Source organism: Homo sapiens, chromosome 6 (assembly GCF_000001405.40).
Source record: "Homo sapiens chromosome 6, GRCh38.p14 Primary Assembly".
NCBI lineage: Eukaryota > Metazoa > Chordata > Mammalia > Primates > Hominidae > Homo > Homo sapiens.
The window spans coordinates 41,366,318-41,384,042 of NC_000006.12; the positions used below are offsets into that span (position 1 = coordinate 41,366,318).

Consider the following 17,725-nt stretch of genomic DNA (forward strand, 5'->3'; position numbering starts at 1 on the left):
AACCTGTAAATGAACGTTCATAGCAGCTTTATTTATAACAGCCAAAATCTGGAAACAACCCAGATGTCTCTCAACAGATAAACAGTTAAACTGCAGTACATCCATAGACTACATGGCAATAAAAGAGAATGAACAATTGATACATGCAATAACCTGAATGGATCTTAAGGAATTTGTGCTGCATGAAAAAGTCTTAAAAGATGACATACAAGGCCGGGTGCGGCAGCTTACACCTGTAATCCCAGCACTTTGGGAGACCAAGGGGGGCGGATCACGAGGTCAAGAGATTGAGACCAGCCTGGCCAACATGGTGAACCCCATCTCTACTAAAAATACAAAAATTAGCCAGGTGTGGTGGCGTGTGCCTGTAACCCCAGCTACTTGGGGGGCTGAGACAGGAGAATCGCTTGAACCCGGGAGATGGAGGTTGCACTGAGCCAAGATCACACCATTGCACCCCAGCCTGGGTGACAAGAGCAAAACTCCATCTCAAAAAAAAAAAAAAACAAAAACAAAAAAAGCCATACTCTGTGATTTCTTCTATATCACATTCTCAAAATGACAAAATCACAGAAATGGGAAACACATTAACGGTGGCCTGGGGCTAAGAATGTTGAGAGAGGGAGGACTGGGCATGACCACCAAGGGATGGCAGGGAAGAGGTCTTTGGGGTGATGAAATGGTTCTGTGTCTTGATTACTGCGGGGGCTACAAGAGTCCACACGTGGGTGAAAGTTACCTGGGACCTCTCTGTACTACCCTTGAACTTCCTATATGCTATAGTTTCAATGTTTGTTTCCTCCTAATCTCATGTTGAAATTTAATCCCCAGTGTGATGGTGTTGGGAGTTGGAACCTATTGGGGGGTGTTTGGGTCATGGGGGTCCTTTGATTCATGGATTCTTCATTAATACATGCATGCCCTTGGAGGAGTGAGTACTTAACTCTATTAGTCCCCGAAAGCGCCGATTGTTAAAAGAGTCCAGCACCTCCCTCCTTGTCTTGCTTCCCCTCTCACCATGTGATCTCTGGAAACACTGGCTCCCCTTTGCCTTCTGCCATGAATGGAAGCAGCCTAAGGCTTTCACCAGATGCCCAATCTTCCAGCCAGCAGAATTGTGAGCCAAATAAATCTTTTTTCTTTATAAAGTACCCAGTCCCACGTATTCCTTTACAGCAACACCAAATGGATTGGGACACTATGAATCTATAATTATTTAAAAGTTAACAGCTTTAAAAATTGATTGTCAAAGTCATTTTGTGTCTGTCTTTTTTACTTTTAAAATATGAATCCATCACGCTAAATGGGGGCTCCTCTGGCTCCTCACAGGGCATTCAGCGTTTGGTGGGGGCAATGACCCTGGGTTTATGCGGACACAATTCCAGGATGTTCTGCAGCCAGATCTTTCCCGAAGTTTCACATCTCTCTTCCAGGACACCTGCTGTCTCTAGAAGGAGCATCCCTCTGGAGAAGGAAGGAGAGAAGGCAGAAAGTGGCCGCAGCCTAGTGGGAAGGAGACCAGTGACAGCTGCATCCCAGCCCACTAGGGAGCAGCAGAGGATGGAGAATGGTTCTCAGCTCTGCACTGGAGTGGGTGGAATCTCAGGCAGGAGAAGGGGAGGGGCTCTGCCCAGAGACCTTTCCCCAGCCTGACCACTGCAGGTGCAAAAGCAGCTTGAGCATTTCCAATGCCTGATAAAGAGGGAGCCCAGCTGGGCTCAGTGGCTCAAGCCACTAATCCTGGCACTTTGGGAGGCTGAGACTGGAGAATTGCTTAAGGCCAGGAATTAGGATTCAAGACCAGCCCAAGCAACATAGCGAGATTCCATCTCTACAGAGATTTTGAAAATTAGCTGGGTATGGTGGTGCACACCTGTAGTCCTACTTAGAAGGATGAGGTGGGACCATCACTTGAACCCAGGAGTTTGAGGCTTCAATGAGCCATGATTGTGTCACTGCACTCCTCTAAATTAATTAATGAAAATGAAACACGAAGGAAAGAGCCCTATGCCAAGCAGAGGTCTCCTGACCTTGGGATTAAAGATGGAGAAGAACTGAGGTCGACTCAGTGTGGTCACCCATTCCATGCTCTTCGTTTGTTCTGTCTGAGTATCTGAGGTCGCAGGAGTGCCCCACTCAGAACAAAGCACCTTGTTCTTCACCTTCAGGGATAAGATTGCTCAAGGAGCCTGAATCCCAGAGAAAGGACAGAGACCTCTAACTCCCCATCCATGCAACATGCATGATAGAGTTTCCCAGCTGTCCCTGAACCGGTCTCAACCTGCAGGCCCATGAACCCATCTGAAATGGGCTCAAATGGAGAATGAGAAAGGACCTTGGAACATTCCCAGAGACTAATTTGGGAGCTCAGTACATCAGCTAAAGGTATTTTCTAGATGATTCTTCAGAGCCAAGGAGAGGGAGAGCTCCTGGCCTAGGATGGAAGCCAATATTTTACTCTTCTCACACTCTGTGCACCAAGAGATGGTGTGAATGTGAGAGAATCACTCTGCAATTTTACTAGCTCTATGTTCTTAATCGAAGTGCATTGCCTCTCTTAGCCCCAATTTCCTTATCTGGATAGTATGGGAAATGACAGTTCTCTCTTCTGGAGTTACTCTATTGATTAAATAAAGTAAGTGAGACGCCGTGCAAAACACCTGGCACCTGCCAGGCAATCCGTAAGCCTTTTCCTGCGCCCCCTGTCGGCGCTGGAAAAGTTCTGTATCTTGTATCAACCCCGGCTGCAGTATCCTTCATAACCACCAGGAGGCGGTGTGGGACCACGGAGCCTGCTTTGCCCACAACTAGACTCACTGGGGGAAAGGAGAGAATTCCTCCGCCTAAGGAGCAGCGGAATTGGAGCGCCAGAATTGGAGCGCCAGAGAGACACCGGATCTTACCTTCTTGCGCTGGAGTTGCCCACGCTGTCTCCATAGCACGAAAAAGAACCAGGGTAGGCATAGCAAAGGCAACAGGTGGGACGGGGAGCCAGGGAGTGGAAACGCCGGAGGTCCTCAGGCTGGGGATCCCGGAGTCCTCGCTCAGATTCCGATTCCGGAGAAGGCCAATTCCGGGACCCTATCCATGTCCCATTCCGGGCACCTTCCTCAAAAGTAGGGGTGGGAGGGGCATAAGCCGGTCAAGTATTTCCCGGGCCTTCCGGAGCAATCTTGCCTAAGCGTTCATATTTAACGCATTGGACTGGGAAACATTTGGAGATCATTGATTAAGAAATACTCAAACCTGGGCCGGGCGCGGTGGCTCACGCCTGTAAATCCCAGCACTTTGGGAGGCCCAGGCGGGCGGATCACCTGAGGTCAGGAGTACAAGACCAGCTTGGACAACATGGTGAAACCCTGTCTCTACTAAAAATACAAAAATCAGCCCACCGTGGTGGTGGGTGCCTGTAGTCCCAGCTACTCGGGAGGCTGAGGCAGGAGAATCGCTTGAACCCGGAAGGCGGAGGTTGCAGGGAGCCGAGATTGTGCCACTGCACTCCAGCCTGGGCGACAGAGCAAGACTCCGTCTCAAAAATAAAAAAATATATATACTCAAACCTGAAACCCATGGATAAATTAAATTCTCTAGTCTTTGTTTATCGTTTTTGAAAACAAAAATTGCATTTTTTGACAGGGTTTTACCATTGCCCAGGCTGAATGCAGTGGCACAATCACAGGTCACTGCAGCCTTGACCTCCTGGGCTCAAGCGATCCTCCCACCTGAGCCTCCTCAGTATAGCTAGGACTACAGATGCGCACCACCATGACTGCTAACCTTTTAGTTTTTGTAAAGATGGGATTTCCTTAGATTGCCCAGGCTGGTGATCCTCCCACCTCGGCCACCCAAAGTGCTGGGTTTACAGGCATGAACCACCACACTTGACCCACATCGTTCTCTTTTTAAAAAAATATTCCAGCCCGGCACGGTGGCTCATGCCTCTAATCCCAGCACTTTGGTAGGCTGAGATGGGAGGATCCCTTGAGGTCAGCAGTTTGAGACCAGCTTGGCCAAGATGGTGAAATCCGTCTCTACTGAAAAAAATTTTTGTTAAAAAAATGCCGGGCCTGGTGGCGGGTGCCTGTAATCCCAACTACTTGGGAAGGCTGAGGCAGGATAATCACTTGAACCCAGGAGGTGGAGGCTGCAGCAAGCCGAGACTGCCCCACTGCACTCCAGCCTGGGAGACAGTGAGACTCCATCTAAAAAAAAAAAAAAAAATCCACTGGCTTCCCATCACACCTAGTATATAATTCAAGACACTCTCTCCCTCATCATGGCCTACAAAACGCTACAGAATCTGACCCTCCTGACTTTCCATTGACCCTCCCTTTCACCTCCACCCTCTCTCCTCCTTTTTGAGCTCCATTCCAGGCACTTTCCACATCTTAGGCCACTGCATTTGCAGTTCCCTCCGCGGGGACCCTGCCCTTTCAGAAGTCTGCATGGCTCATTCTCTTCTGGGTCTCTGTCTCCTCCCCAAGTTCCTCTCTGGCCCACTTCATCTTTCCTTCACAGCACAAAGGGCTGTCCTGCCTGATACCATGTTGTGTGACTGTGTTTATCTGTTTCCTGTCTTTCTGACCCAGGAATGTATAAGCGCCCTGAGGGATGGGATCTTGTCTTCCTGTTGCTCAGTCATTTAATAGGTACTTGCTAAGTATTTGTGGAATGAGTGAATGACTTAATTAATCTACAAGCTGTGGAGACTCAGGAAGGATCGTGATAGTGACAGCTGTTGGTAAATTTAATTCAATATGTATTGTGCGCTTATTTTGTGCCTACTGTGTGGCATTCAGCATCATCTTGTTGCTGCTATTCATTGTGGTGAAGAGAATACGGCAGCAGGTAAGTCTGATCTGGGCCCAGAGCACAGACCGTAGGCGCAGCTCATCTCTTCATTGCTTTCTCCCCATTCTTGGAGTGGCAGTAGGAACCCCCACCCCCCCCCCACACACACACACATACACACACAGAGAGAGAGAGAGAGAGAGAGAGAAAGAGAGAGAGAGACGGGACAGCCTCCTCTATGCACTGCTTCCTCTTCCCCAGCCCTGCTCCCTGCATCCTTCCCTCTGGTCCTAGTGTCCTGGTGTCTTGAAGATGCTGGGTAGTTAGACCGACATCCCTCTCCCTCTCTCACCCTGGGCTCTGGGACGCTGGCCCTGCTTCCCCAGAGAGCGATCGCCCCGGACTTGTGCCTGTGTTCCGGCCTAGGGCAGCCGGAACCTCCCGATATCCCCAGAGGAGTCTCAGGACAGCGCACAGGGAAGTACTGGCTTGGAGCTGCGTGTTCCTTGGGCGGCCGGCGGAGGGCGAAGAGCAGGAAGAGCCCGGGGGACGACGGTAGCAGAGTGTTGGGGAGGCCACAGACGCGGACTGCGTGGAGAAAGCACGCACCCGGGCCGCAGTAGCCGGGCAGGGGGACGGCGGAAAGCAGCCCTCTCTGGAACATTTTATTCTGATCCCCGCAGGACTCCCCCGCGAGCCCCGGCTTGAGCAGTCGTGTAACAAGTGTGCGATTGCGCGTGCGACTGGTGTGTGCGCGTGGGCACTTACACGTTCCCGGGGAGGCTGGGGGCAGGAGCTTCACTGTTCACACAAAGAGCGCTTAGAGGAGGAACATTTAAGTTTGGGGGCAAAGAAAGAAAAAAGAGTTAAAGGTTTAGGAGATGGGGGAGGAGGATGGGGCTTAAGGACGCGGTGTTGCCGCGGCTCAGCCATCGGGGCGGGAAGCTCGGGGAGGGAGAGCGCCTGGGCCCGCTTCTCGCCTATTCTACGCAGAACTTTTCTCTCCTCCTTCTTCCCTCGCTCTGCCTCTCTCGGGGCGGTCTCCGGGGACTGTCTCTCACATCCATTCTCCTCTCCTCCTTGATTTATGCTGCAGAGTGGAACGACCTTCCCTGACCTCATTTTCATGTCGGCGCGAGCACACCCGGAGCCGGCTACGCACATTCCGGAGGAGGCGCGCGCTGACACGCACACACACACACACACACACTCGAGACACTGCAGGGCCCTGCCCATCCTCGAGTTCACACCAGCCCCGCCACTATTATGGGCACTGCCGGGGCTGTGGACGCTCAAAGAATAGATCCTCATTAGCATCTTGCTTTGAATATCATTTGCATTTTATTCATTTCATGTCAAAACGCTCAGAACTCTCCCCAGCCCGCACCTTCCCCAGAGCTTGGGAGTCATGGGTTTCCAGCTCAAGCCCCTTCTCTGTGGGCCCCACGCTTGCTGGCTACCCCCACCCCACCTACCCTGCGCCACAGCCCCCACAAAATGAATTGACGTCTCCTAAGCACTTGGCAAGTTCCATCTCCTGCGCTAGGGTGCATTGTCTCATCTAATCCTGACAGCAACTCAAGGAGCAAAGCACTATACTATACCCATTTGAGAGTCGAGGAAACTGAGTCACAAAGGTGACTTGACCAAGGTCGTGGAGCTAAAAACCGAGGAGGAGAAACTGAAACCCAAGGCGACCAAACACCAAACCCAAAGAGCTTAACCGCTTCGCTGCCCCGGCTCAGGCAAGGTCAAAGCTAAGGTATGATAACTCTGGCAGGAGAAAGTCTGTTTTCCTACGTGGTAGAAAGTCCTTGGGCCCGCCACGACCCTTCCCCCATCCCGGCCGCTGGGGCACCGGGGCACATTCCCAGTGCGGGCGCTCGCAGCACCACCTCGCCTGGCCGCCCCCAGTCCTGACCCCTTTCTAGCGCTGGATCGGCCGGGTCCGGCCTCCGTGCTCGCGGGGTCGTCCGTCGGCGCTGGCTAGTTAAGAAAAATAAACAACGTTCCAAATGAAGGCGATTCCTTTCAACCCAAGCTCCGCCGCCTGCCAGAGAAATGCAAACAGCGGGGTACGGCCGGAGTCCGCCCCAGCCCCCGCGCCGGAGCTGCGGGTGGCAGGGTCGGGCCGCGGTAACCCGAGCCGCCGCGCCGGCTCCCCGCGCGCTGCCCTCCGCCTGCCCCTTCGCCCCTGACCCCGCAGTCGGCGCGCTGGGCCTGCGCCCGCCATCCCCAGCGCCCCCCACCGGGCCGGGACCTCCGCCAGCGGTCCTCGGCGCCCTTCCTGCCCCCTCCCCCCAGCGGTCTCGGCCCCATCCCGAACCGCCACCCTGGGATCCCCAGCCCTCCTGCGCCCTCGAGGCCACCGGGCTCCTGCGAGCAACGCTTCCCTGCGGCGACCGCGCGCTGGGATCACTCAACACCAAGAAAAAAAAAATGCACTGGGAACGACAGAAACCTGCCTTAGCGAACTATCCTCTAGTGGATCGGGCGTGGGGGGCTGCTTCCAGATAGGACCCCTGCTCACCCTGCAGGGTGCGGCCGGGACAACTACGGGCGCCACTGCGGAAGGCCTGACCTGATCCGGCACGGTGTGGCCACCGTGGGCCCACAGAGGGTGAAGGGGTAGCTTATGCTGAGTGGGGGTGTCCACCTGGACAGACCAGGCGAGCCTCGCTCCTGGTGCGGGAGCTAGTTTTCCCTGGATCTTCCGCGGCAGAGAAGCCTGCGTCCGGGACCAGCAGAGTGAGCCGACCGGCGGATGCAGTTGACCCCATTCGCGTCCAAACTTCACTTCGAGAAAACGCAGCCCTGCGCGCAGTCCACGCAGGACGCGACAGCGCCACCCTCGTTTGTACGGCTGCGCGAATGACTCGAGAGAGTCGCGGTGGCTGCACGTGCGTGCGCAAAGCGGGAAGGAGTCAGAAACAGTCCCGGGCGCAGAGCGAAGAAATCCTGGGACCTCGGCAAGAGGGCCTCACCACTGGAGATGGGGTAGCTACGCCGTGTGGCTGGGGGAGGGGTGGTAGGGGGCGCCTAGCCAGTTGCAGGGGCCTCGGGACTTTCCATGGCCTCACCCCTCTTCTAGGACACGTGGCCAGCGTCCTCCAGGCCACCACTGGGGATGAGGGTGCTCGAGCCTCGGTGCCCAGAGTGTTGGGAGGAGCGGCGGCGCACCCGCTTCCTCCGAATTCCTGCATCGCAACGCTGGGCCGCACCGAAGGCGGTAGGATGTGCCAGGCGTAAAGCTCCGATTGGCTTCGAGAGAGTCGGGGGCAGGCGAAGACGCGGACCACGCGGGCTTCCTGTCCTCTTTATTCCCAGCTCTTTTTCGCGGGATAAGCGTGTCTGACGGCTTAAGTGCAGTCTCCCTGCGTCCCTGCCTGAGCTTTCCAGCTCCCAATTACTTCGCGGGATTGGGAGCCGAGCGCTCTCCCTGGAGCGATGCTCACACCCGTGCGCACTCGCCTAGACTTCCCAGCCCGCTCTCCGGGTCCCTCTGCGCGGCGGCACTGCGCAGCTCTTCTGCTGCCGGGGCTCCAACACCTCTGGAGCTCCAGGCCCTGACTTTCCCGCAGTCTGTCCACCCGAGCTGCAATCAATACCAGCTCAGTACGGGGCCGCTCGCTGGCCTCCACTCCTCCCGCTGCACACACGTATACACCGCATTAGAGATTCCCTTCTCGCACTTTCGTGAAGGGGCAAGATGTAAGCTCGGGAGAATTCCACTTTCCTCAAAGATTCCCTACCCGGGCGTCATATGGGGATTTTTTCCCCCATTGTAGTTTTCTTTTTAAAGAAGTTTTCTTTAAAAGTAGAAAAAAAGTAGACATGAACACCACCGCCACCATCTCTTCCCAGCTTCCTAAATCGGTTCCTTTTTGCCAGCTGAAACCCAGCAATTATGGCAGGAAGGAATCCTTTCCTCTTGGGTCCTTCAAAAAGCGCCACTTTGGAGACGGTGATAAATCTGCGCTGCCTGAGTCGTTCCCCTACTCCCAACCCCTCGCTCCTCATCACTGCCCCTCCTAGACCCTGCTGTGTAGACGGGACCTCAAGGAGTTCCCGAGGGAACAGATTTGAAAGCCCAGCTCCGGGTTCCATGGACAGTGTTTGACAGGTCAGCCCCTCGCTGTCCTCCTATCCCCCTCCTCCAAGTCCGGTCCCCCTCTTTCACCCCAACCCCCACTCTCGCGTGGGACTCAGACACTGATCCCGGAGCGAGAATGCGGCTGACAGTTAAATTGCAGTGTAGGCCGAGGGGGGGAAAAGGGACCATGTCTCTTTAACGGGCCCTGCAGACAAAGCGTCTCCCCTTGGAGCGAGCGGAGCCAGGCGCAGCCGCGCGCAGACCTGTCAGCGCGTCTCACGCGCTTGGGAGAGAGTTTGCAAAGTCATAATTATATCTCTTAACCTGTCTTGCTCTCTGCAGAAGAAGGTCCCATTATATTGAAATGAGATTATTAGCCATCAAATACTTTCTTTCTCGGGAGTTTTTTTTTTTTTTAATTCAAATACCTTAACGACTTGGCAATTGCATTTTGATCAGATTTAGTTGGCGCCCCAGCCCGGAGCGGGAGCCGGGGCGGGAAGGCAGCTGGTTGGGGAGCGACGAGGGGGAGGTCGGGGGGGAAGCCAGAAGAGTTTGCAAAGAAATGCAACCCCTCTTTTATCTCGCTCCTAGGTCTCATTTACCTGGCGAGGGCCTCCAGGCCTGGGGAGGGGGTGTGAGATGAGGGAAGTTGGGGCAGAGTGGTGAGATGTCTTTTATCCCCTTGGGACCTGGTCGGCTTAAACCGCTTCTTTGAAAATGGAACGCGACTTTCAGACAAGGCGAACGTGGACGCCGAGGCGGAGGCCAGGCTGCGGAAATCTGAGGGCTACAGAATAGGGTTGGGTCTGGGGTACTAGGTAAGGACCGAGGCTGGAGCTGGGAGTGGCTCGGGATTAACTTCTTCCGCTGGAGGTTGGCTTAAGGCTCGCGCCAGGCTCCTGGCGGATGGAATTTCAGAACGCAATAAATGGGGTTTTTCTCTACGCCCAAGGCCTGTCTGGTTTTACCAAAGATTGTGAGCCCCTTGAGTGGAGAGCCCATCTTGTTTCCAGACCCTGGAACCCCTGTCCCTACTGCCAACAGACCACCCCCTCCTCTCCCTGGACTGGAGGAAGGATGTGAGGTGGAAGATTTTCCAGACTTTAATTTTAAAGCCCCTCACTTTGACTTCCCCTAGTGGGAGGCGGAGCCAGGCTTGTGTTTTTCTTGGCTTTAGCCCAGACTCAAGGAAAATATAGGGAACAAGACAGCCACCAGCCCCACCTCCCCCACCCCGGACCCTCATATTTCACTTACAATCCTGGTGGGTCCGACCAGCCTCTAGTTCCACCCCATCGTCTTTGCAATGAGTATCTCTCTTCAGGTACTCAAAAAAGCATTATGAAGATCCGGAGTCCAGAAGCTTGGCTTCTAGGCCAGGTAGAACCACACCACCTTGGACCAGTCAGCTCTTGTCTCTGAGCCTCTGTTTCTCCTTGTGCATAATGAAAGCCTTGGACTTGAGATATATGCGTTCCCTTTAATCTCACATCATTTTTTCTGTAAAGAAGGTTCTTGCCAGATGTGGTCATCTGGAAGATTCCAGAGAGGCCATACCACTGCTCTTCAGGAAAGCAGCCTGAGGAGGGGTAGAAATCAATGTTGGCTTTAAAAGCCTCCAAATATAAAAACTGAGAAACTTTGGTGGTGTCTACTAAAACTGAAGCATGCATACCCTATGACCCAGCAGTTCCACTGGCAGGCATTGTCCCAACAGAAATGCTGTCCTATGCTCACCAAAGGACATGTACAAAAAAATGTTTACACAGTACTCTTCACAATAGCCCCAAACTGCAAACTACCAAATGTCCATTAGCTATGAAATTAGCTGTGATATAGTTACACACTGGAATACTATATAGAAAAGAGAAAGAATGAGCTATGCTACATGTAACCACATAGATGACTCTCATGCTGAGCAAAAGAAACTGGACCTGGCCTGGCTCAATGGCTCACAACTATAATCCCAGCACTTTGGGAGGCAGAGGCGGGCAGATCGCTTGAGCCCAGGAATTCAAGACCTGTCTCTACAAAAGTACAAAAATTAGAGCATCTGTAGTCCCAGCCACTGGGGAGGCTGAGATGGGAGGATCACTTGAGCCCAGGAGGTCGAGGCTGCAGTGAACTGTCATGGCACCCACTGCATTCCAGCCTGAGCAACAGAGTGAGACCTTGTCTTTAAGAAAAAGAAAGAAAGAAGAGAAAAGAAGAAGGAAAAGAAAAAGAAATCAGACCCGAAAGTACATTCTCTGTGGTTCCATTTATTTAAAGTACAAAAACAGGCAAAATAAATCTATGTATGCTATTAGAAAGCAGAATCATGGTTACTTAGAGAAGGCATGGCTAAAAGGGATTATGAAGGAGGTTTCTGGGCCAATGGTGGTCTTCTGATTCTTGATGTAGTTACACAAGTGTGTTCAGATTATGCAAATTCATTGAGATGGGTACCTATATTAAGTGCATTTTGTGAATTTATAATTATTAAAGCCTGAAATTGGAAATTTCTTCTCCCTAGTCCTCAATCTCATTCATACGCTCACATATTCTAATGCTGCAAACTCTACAGTAGCAGGAAATCAATCAATGAATCATGTTTGGCCCTCTTCCCCTGTGTTCAACACTGTAAAGTATCTGTGAATATATTTTAGCCCCTGCCTTCAAAGATTTGCAATCAAGTTTGGGAGGCAGATAGACACCCAGGAAATCACGGAGGAGATATCTAATGGAATAGAATGAGTAGTGGTTTATGCCTCTGTCAGGTGAACCTGACAGCTGGGGCCAAATCCCAGCTCCACCACTTACTATCTATGTAATCTTGGACAAGTGACTTCACATCTCTGAGCCTCAGTATCCTTATCTGGAGTATGGAGAGGAAAATGCTAATATTTACTCACGGGGATGTTGTGAGGATTACACCAGATAAATATATTTCTCTATAACAGCAACAAAAAATGGAAAATGAAATTGTTCCTTTTAAATGCTGTATTAGTTCATTTGGGTTGCTGTAACAAAATACCATAGACTGGATGGCTTGTAGGCAGCAGAAATTTATTTCTTACAGTTCTAGAGCCTGGAAAGTCCAGCATCAAGACACCAGAAGATTTGGTGTCTGGTGAGGACCCACTTTCTCACAGACGGAACCTTCTCATGAGAGTAGTGCCCATAAATGTTAGCCACTATTTCCACCTGGTATGGTGGTAAGTCTGGTTTGGGCTGCTCAGAGTTCAGACAAGAGGATGGTGAGTATGAGTTGGGGTGAGTGTGTATCCTATAATGCACAGAGCAGCTTCCACAACAAAGAAATTTTCCAGCCCAAAATGCCAGTGATGCCAAGGTTAAGAACCCTTGATGTGGAGGACAGAAGGGATTCGGTGGCAAAGGGAGAACATTCCCCAGGAGGGGAGAAAGATGTGCTCTGGAATTTCTGATGTGAACTGAGGGTAGGTAGCATTGGAAGTGACCAGAGGAGTCCCTGTTCTAGTCTTCATCCCTCAGGCTGCAAGCTCCTCATTCACCTCCCTGATTTCAGAATTTGTGGGGGGTGGTTTATTTCCTGTTCTCAAGAGATACTTGGAAAAAGCAAGGCAGATTCTCAGGAGATTTACAAGGCCACAGCATCGCGTGTGCCTTGGAACCACAATTGGAGGAAACCCCTAAGTTGGAGGCATCTGACCCTCTCCCAGAGGCTCAGAAGGGGAAGGGACTTGTCTACTGTCATGCAGTGCAGCTGGGAGTGCTGAGACTCTACCCTTGAGCTCTGTTCTTGGTGTACAGAAAGTTAGGGGAGAAGGGATTGCAAATCTGGATTAAATGATCTAGAAGCGGAAAATATGACACATGTTAATAGTCAAAAAGGAAAGTCAGCACCGAACTTTGGAAGTGTTCAATAGAACAATGTGATTGTCTAGGGGTAAGTATAATTCTTGGTTCTAAAATCATGCCTAATAGACATAGCATTCCAGAAAAAAGGAAATTTACATTGGTTAATCACATTTTTTTCCAGAAGCAAATTCTATTTGTCAGGCACTGTTCTAAATACTAGGGATACAGTAATGAACAACAGAGGCAAAGCGAACCCTCATGGGGCATATATACTGGGGGAGAAGGATGATAAATAAAACAATGTAATGCCAGGCATTTAACTGAGCACCTACTATGGGTTGGGTGTCCCTTATAAATGTCCTCAGTTTCACAAGAACTTTTAAGATAGAAATCTGCAGTTTAAGATGGAGAAACTGAAGTTCAGAGAAGGCAAGTGACTTCCCTAAAGTAGAATGACTAATAAGTGTCAGATTCAGGATTTGAACTTAGTAGGCCATTCATGATAAACATAGTACACTTAGAGGGAACTTCCTCAATCTGATAAAGACTATCTACAAACTCCTACAGCAATAATTATGCTTAATGATGAAATAGTGAAAGTTTCCTCCTTTCTATCAGGAGAAGATACAATATCCAGTATCAACACTTCTATTTAACATTGTATTAGATATCCTAGCCCGGACAATAAGACAAGAAAATGAAATAAAAGATTTAAGGATTGGTAGAGGGAAAGGAGAAATATTATTCATAGATGATATGATTATATAAATAGAAAATTCAAAATAATCTGCAAACTACTGGAATTAATGGTGAATTTAGCCAAGTCACTAAATAATAAGATTTTTGTTGTTGTTATTGTTGTTTTTGTTTGTTTGCTTTTTTTTTTGAGACAGAGTCTTGCTCTGTTGCCCAGGCTGGAGTGCAATGGCGTGATCTCAGCTCATTTCAACCTCCGCCTCCTGGGTTCAAGCAATTCTCCCACCTCAGTCTCCTGAGTAGCTGGGATTACATGCATCCATCATCATGCCTGGCTAATTTTTGTATTTTTGTAGAGATGGGGTTTCACCTTGTTGGCCAGGCTGGCCTTGAACTCCTGACCTCAGATGATCTGCCCACCTCGGCCTCCCAAAGTGCTGGGATTGCAGACATGAGCCACTGTGCCCAGCCTAAATACAAGTTTTTTTAATACAAGATTGATGCATTAAGATAAATTATATTTATCTATAACAGCAACAAAAATTAGAAAATGAAATTATTCTTTTTAAATGCTGTCTTAGTTCATTTGGGCTGCTGTAACAAAATACCATAGACTGGGTGGCTTATAGGCAGCAGGAATTTATTTCTCATAGTTCTGGAGGCTGGGAAGTCCAGCATGAAGGCAGCAGCAGATTTGGTGTCTGGTGAGGGCCCACTTTCTCCAGGTGGAGACTTCTCACTGTGTCCTCACTTGCTAGAAGAGGTAAAGTAACTCTCTGGGCCTTTTTTATAAGGGCACTAATCCCATTCACAAGAACTCTGCTATCATGACCTAATCGCCTCCTAAAAGGCCCCACCTCCTAATGCCATCACCTTGAGGGTTAGGATTTCAACATATGAATTTAGAGGGGAGACGTATTCAGACTGTAACAGATGCAATAGGTGGGTAATAGCTAAAGGGCATGAGGTTACTTTTTAAGGTGATGAAAATGTTTTAAAATTGACAGTGGTGATGGTTACACATACCTACAAATATTCTAAAAACCATTGAAGTGTATACTTTAAATGGGTGAATTGTATGGAATATGAATTATATCTCCATAAGCTTGGATTTCTTTAAAGATGAAGGGCAGGTATTGCTGGGGTTCTCCTTCCTACACTACCAATCACTAGTGCTTATGAAAATCCCTTCTAAAAATACAATTTACAATAGCAGCAAAGCCCATCAAATGCCTAGGAATAAATCAAATGAAAAATGTGCAAGACCTCTACACTGAACTACAAAGCATTATTGAGGGAACTTAAAGACCTAAATAAATGTAGGGTTATACCATGTTCACAAATGGGAAGGCTCATATTATAATGATGTCAGTTCTCAAAACGAATGCATAGATTCAATACAATTCCAATCAAAATCCCAGCAGGTTTGTTTTTGGAAATTGAATTCAAGTGGATCTGGCTCTATGGCTCACTGGAACATGGACATTATAGAAAAAGATCCAAGGGTCATAGTGTCCCCTATGTACAGGGTTTATAGGCAGCTATAGTTGAAAGACCATCAAGACCACGGGACCCTGAAAAACTCATTTGGGAGTAGAATGAGGAGATAAAAAATATTCTCAGTTAAAACAGACTCTTACCATGCTTTCAGTAGACACAAGAGAAAGACCATAATTGACTAAATATATTTTCACTTAAATAAGAGTGGTAGAAAGGACTTGTCACCTTTCATAAGTGATATCATTAGGGATATGGCTACCCAGCTGGGGATATGGCTCCCTTCATTGTGGATATAGGTGTGCAGGATTCCTCTGGCAAGGACTTGGAGAGGGGTCAATAAATCTCTTAGGCCACATGCTCATGGGTACCAGTTTGTGCATGAGATTGCAGGAGGCCCTTGACCTGTCCCAAGGCAGCAGCTAGGACTTGGCCTCAGCCTTGGCTTTTGAGAAGCTGTGGGAGAGTTGAGGCTTGAAGTCAGTCATCGGAGGAGATGGCTGCTTCCTCCCTGACGACAAGCTGAGGAGCACCCAAGAGGCTGGGCAGGAGGTTGTAGGGGGCAGGGGATCAGGGGATGCAGCACTGCCTTTGTCCTCAGGCTGCACCCACAGAGGCAGGGCTCCAGCACATGAAGAAACAGAGCTTGTTTCCCAGTGAGGGAGAGGGCAGAGACCCCAGGATTCCCTCAGTCTCCCATCTCAATCCCTTGAGGTACGGGGCTTCCCTAAAAAGGGAGAAAATTCAGATCAGATGACAAGGGACTCAGAAGAAGAGAAACAAGAGATGCAGGGGAAGCACTTCCCACCTCAATATCACACTCACTCACTCTGCATCTTTCCGAAGAATGGTCTTTTCTCCCACAATGTGGACTCAGAGACAGATCCTATGACGTAGCATCTCATTATTTTATCTAAAAAGAGAAGAGGCCGGGCGCAGTGGCTCATGCCTATAATCCCAGCACTTTGAGAGGCCAAGGCAGGCAGATCACGAGGTCAAGAGATCAAGACCATCCTGGCCAACATGGTGAAACCCCGCCTCTACAAAAAATACAAAAATTAGCTGGGCATGGTGGCTCACGTAAATTGTCCCAGCTACTCAAGAGGCTGAGGCAGGAGAATCACTTGAACCCAGAAGGCAGAGGTTGCAGTGAGCCGAGATCCTGCCACTGCACTCCAGCCTGGTGACAGAGCAAGACTCCGTTTCAAAATAAATAAATAAAATAAAATAAAAAGAGGCCGGGCGTGGTGGCTCACACCTATAATCCCAGCACTTTGGGAGGCCCAGGTGGGCAGATCACCTGAGGTCAGGAGTTCGAGACCAGCCTGACCAACATGGTGAAACCCCATCTCTACTAAAATTACAAAAATTAGCTGGGTGTGGTGGCACATGCCTGTCATCCCAACTACTCAGGAGGTTGAGGCAGGAGAATTGCTTGAACCCAGGAGGTGGAGGTTGCAGTGAGCCGAGATCACACCATTGCACTCCAGCCTGGGCAACAGAGTGAGACTCTGTCTCAAGAAATAAATAAATAAAAATTTAAAAAAGAAAATAAAAAGAGAAGAGAAGTGGGGAAACTGAGACATAGAGAAGAGCAGATGATGGCTAGGAATATCAGGGAGCCAGAGGAGTCCACAGGGAAGGCAGGGGAGGTTGAAGAGCAAGGAGACGTCTGATTTCCTCAGGCTGGAGAACAGAGCTCTCCAACATCCTTTTTTTCCAGCACACACCTCAAGTAGGAGAGCTAGTTAGACTCACTCTTCTACACAGTCTGTGCTGGGAACTGACATGTAAGGGGAGGGAAGAGAGGACAGATGTAGCTGGAAAGAGAGAGGACACTTTTCCCACCTCTTGCAGTATCTCGTTGAGTTCATGAAAGTCTACTTAATACATATTGCCTAGGGCTCCTGTCCCTCCTATGATGTCACAGATGGGTGGGTGCTAATAAGCCCCATGGGCCCCTGTGTTGAGTCACAGAGTTGAGGACTCCAGGTTCTCCCAGGAGCCTAGAAGGTCTTGCTTCTTTCTTCCCTGGTGGTCTACCAAGAGCATGAGTTCCAGAAATATGTCAACCTGTTTCTTTATACTCATTCCTGTGTGCCCAGCATGGTGAGACCTGAAATAAAGAATATGGCACCCTCCCTGTCCTCACAGGGCTTGCATTCTAGGTGGGGAGAAGCACAAGCCCAACACCAGTGTGAATACCACCAGGGCGCCTCCCCACATGGTGGCTGGAGTGTGTTGACACCAAGTGCTAACAAGGGCCTTCCCTGCAGTCTGGAAAGTCCAGAAGCTTCCTGATGGAGGAGAAAGGGTAGATAGAGGTCAGCTTAGGAAGGGAGATTTGGGTGGAGAGACCAGACGAAGGTTATTGGGAAAAATGCAAAGCAGGACCAGAAACCAGGGCTAAGGCCATTGGTTCATGTTTGTGGGAACCAGGCAGTGTGAGGGCTGGAAAGGCAGTGTGGACCAGAGGAGGGAGGGTCATCAGCATCAGGGATTTGGGGCTTACGGGGGAGTAATTGAAAGCCCTGGGAGCTGAGAGAAGCTTGAAAATTATAGCAGTCAGGGTCCCCACAGGAAACACATGGCGTGTCCACACTCAAGTTTGGAGAACTGGAAGAAAGCTTGATAAAGGGCGTATTCGTTTCCTGGAGCTGCTGTAACAAATCACCACAAACCATGTGTCTTAAAACAACAGCAATTTATTCCTCTCTGACTTCAGGAAGCCAGCAATCCACAACCAAGGTGTCAGCAGGGTCGGTTCCTTCTGAAACCATCCTACACCTCTCTCCTTGCACCTGGTGGCTGCCAACAACCCTT

At 50.0% G+C, this 17,725-nt stretch overlaps 1 long non-coding RNA gene across 2 annotated transcripts, besides 4 other annotated features; it reads right to left on the reverse strand.

Moving 5' to 3' along the window:
- Positions 3,142 to 3,642: an enhancer, noted in NCBI's record as "H3K4me1 hESC enhancer chr6:41337197-41337697 (GRCh37/hg19 assembly coordinates)". NCBI's record gives its function as "activates a minimal SCP1, AML or CMV promoter by ChIP-STARR-seq in primed H9 embryonic stem cells {active_cell/tissue: H9 hESC(primed)}" and the evidence as "EXISTENCE:reporter gene assay evidence [ECO:0000049][PMID:30033119]".
- Positions 4,280 to 4,480: a silencer, noted in NCBI's record as "peak5801 fragment used in MPRA reporter construct". NCBI's record gives its function as "represses an SCP1 promoter by STARR-seq MPRAs in K562 erythroleukemia cells {active_cell/tissue: K562}" and the evidence as "EXISTENCE:reporter gene assay evidence [ECO:0000049][PMID:32103011]".
- Positions 4,922 to 5,875: an enhancer, noted in NCBI's record as "H3K4me1 hESC enhancer chr6:41338977-41339930 (GRCh37/hg19 assembly coordinates)". NCBI's record gives its function as "activates a minimal SCP1, AML or CMV promoter by ChIP-STARR-seq in naive and primed H9 embryonic stem cells {active_cell/tissue: H9 hESC(naive and primed)}" and the evidence as "EXISTENCE:reporter gene assay evidence [ECO:0000049][PMID:30033119]".
- Positions 7,784 to 8,735: an enhancer, noted in NCBI's record as "H3K27ac-H3K4me1 hESC enhancer chr6:41341839-41342790 (GRCh37/hg19 assembly coordinates)". NCBI's record gives its function as "activates a minimal SCP1, AML or CMV promoter by ChIP-STARR-seq in naive H9 embryonic stem cells {active_cell/tissue: H9 hESC(naive)}" and the evidence as "EXISTENCE:reporter gene assay evidence [ECO:0000049][PMID:30033119]".
- LOC100505711 (uncharacterized) lies at positions 15,075 to 16,811 on the reverse strand. 2 transcript variants are annotated; one of them, XR_108647.3, is made up of 3 exons: positions 16,751 to 16,811; positions 15,732 to 15,815; positions 15,075 to 15,629 (listed from the first exon to the last, which is right to left on the reverse strand). It is a non-coding gene; the product is annotated as an uncharacterized LOC100505711 (long non-coding RNA). The 2 variants fall into 2 exon arrangements; XR_002956399.1 differs by lacking the exon at positions 16,751 to 16,811 and having other exon boundaries at positions 15,732 to 15,869.
- Between the last annotated feature and the right edge of the window lie 914 nt (positions 16,812 to 17,725).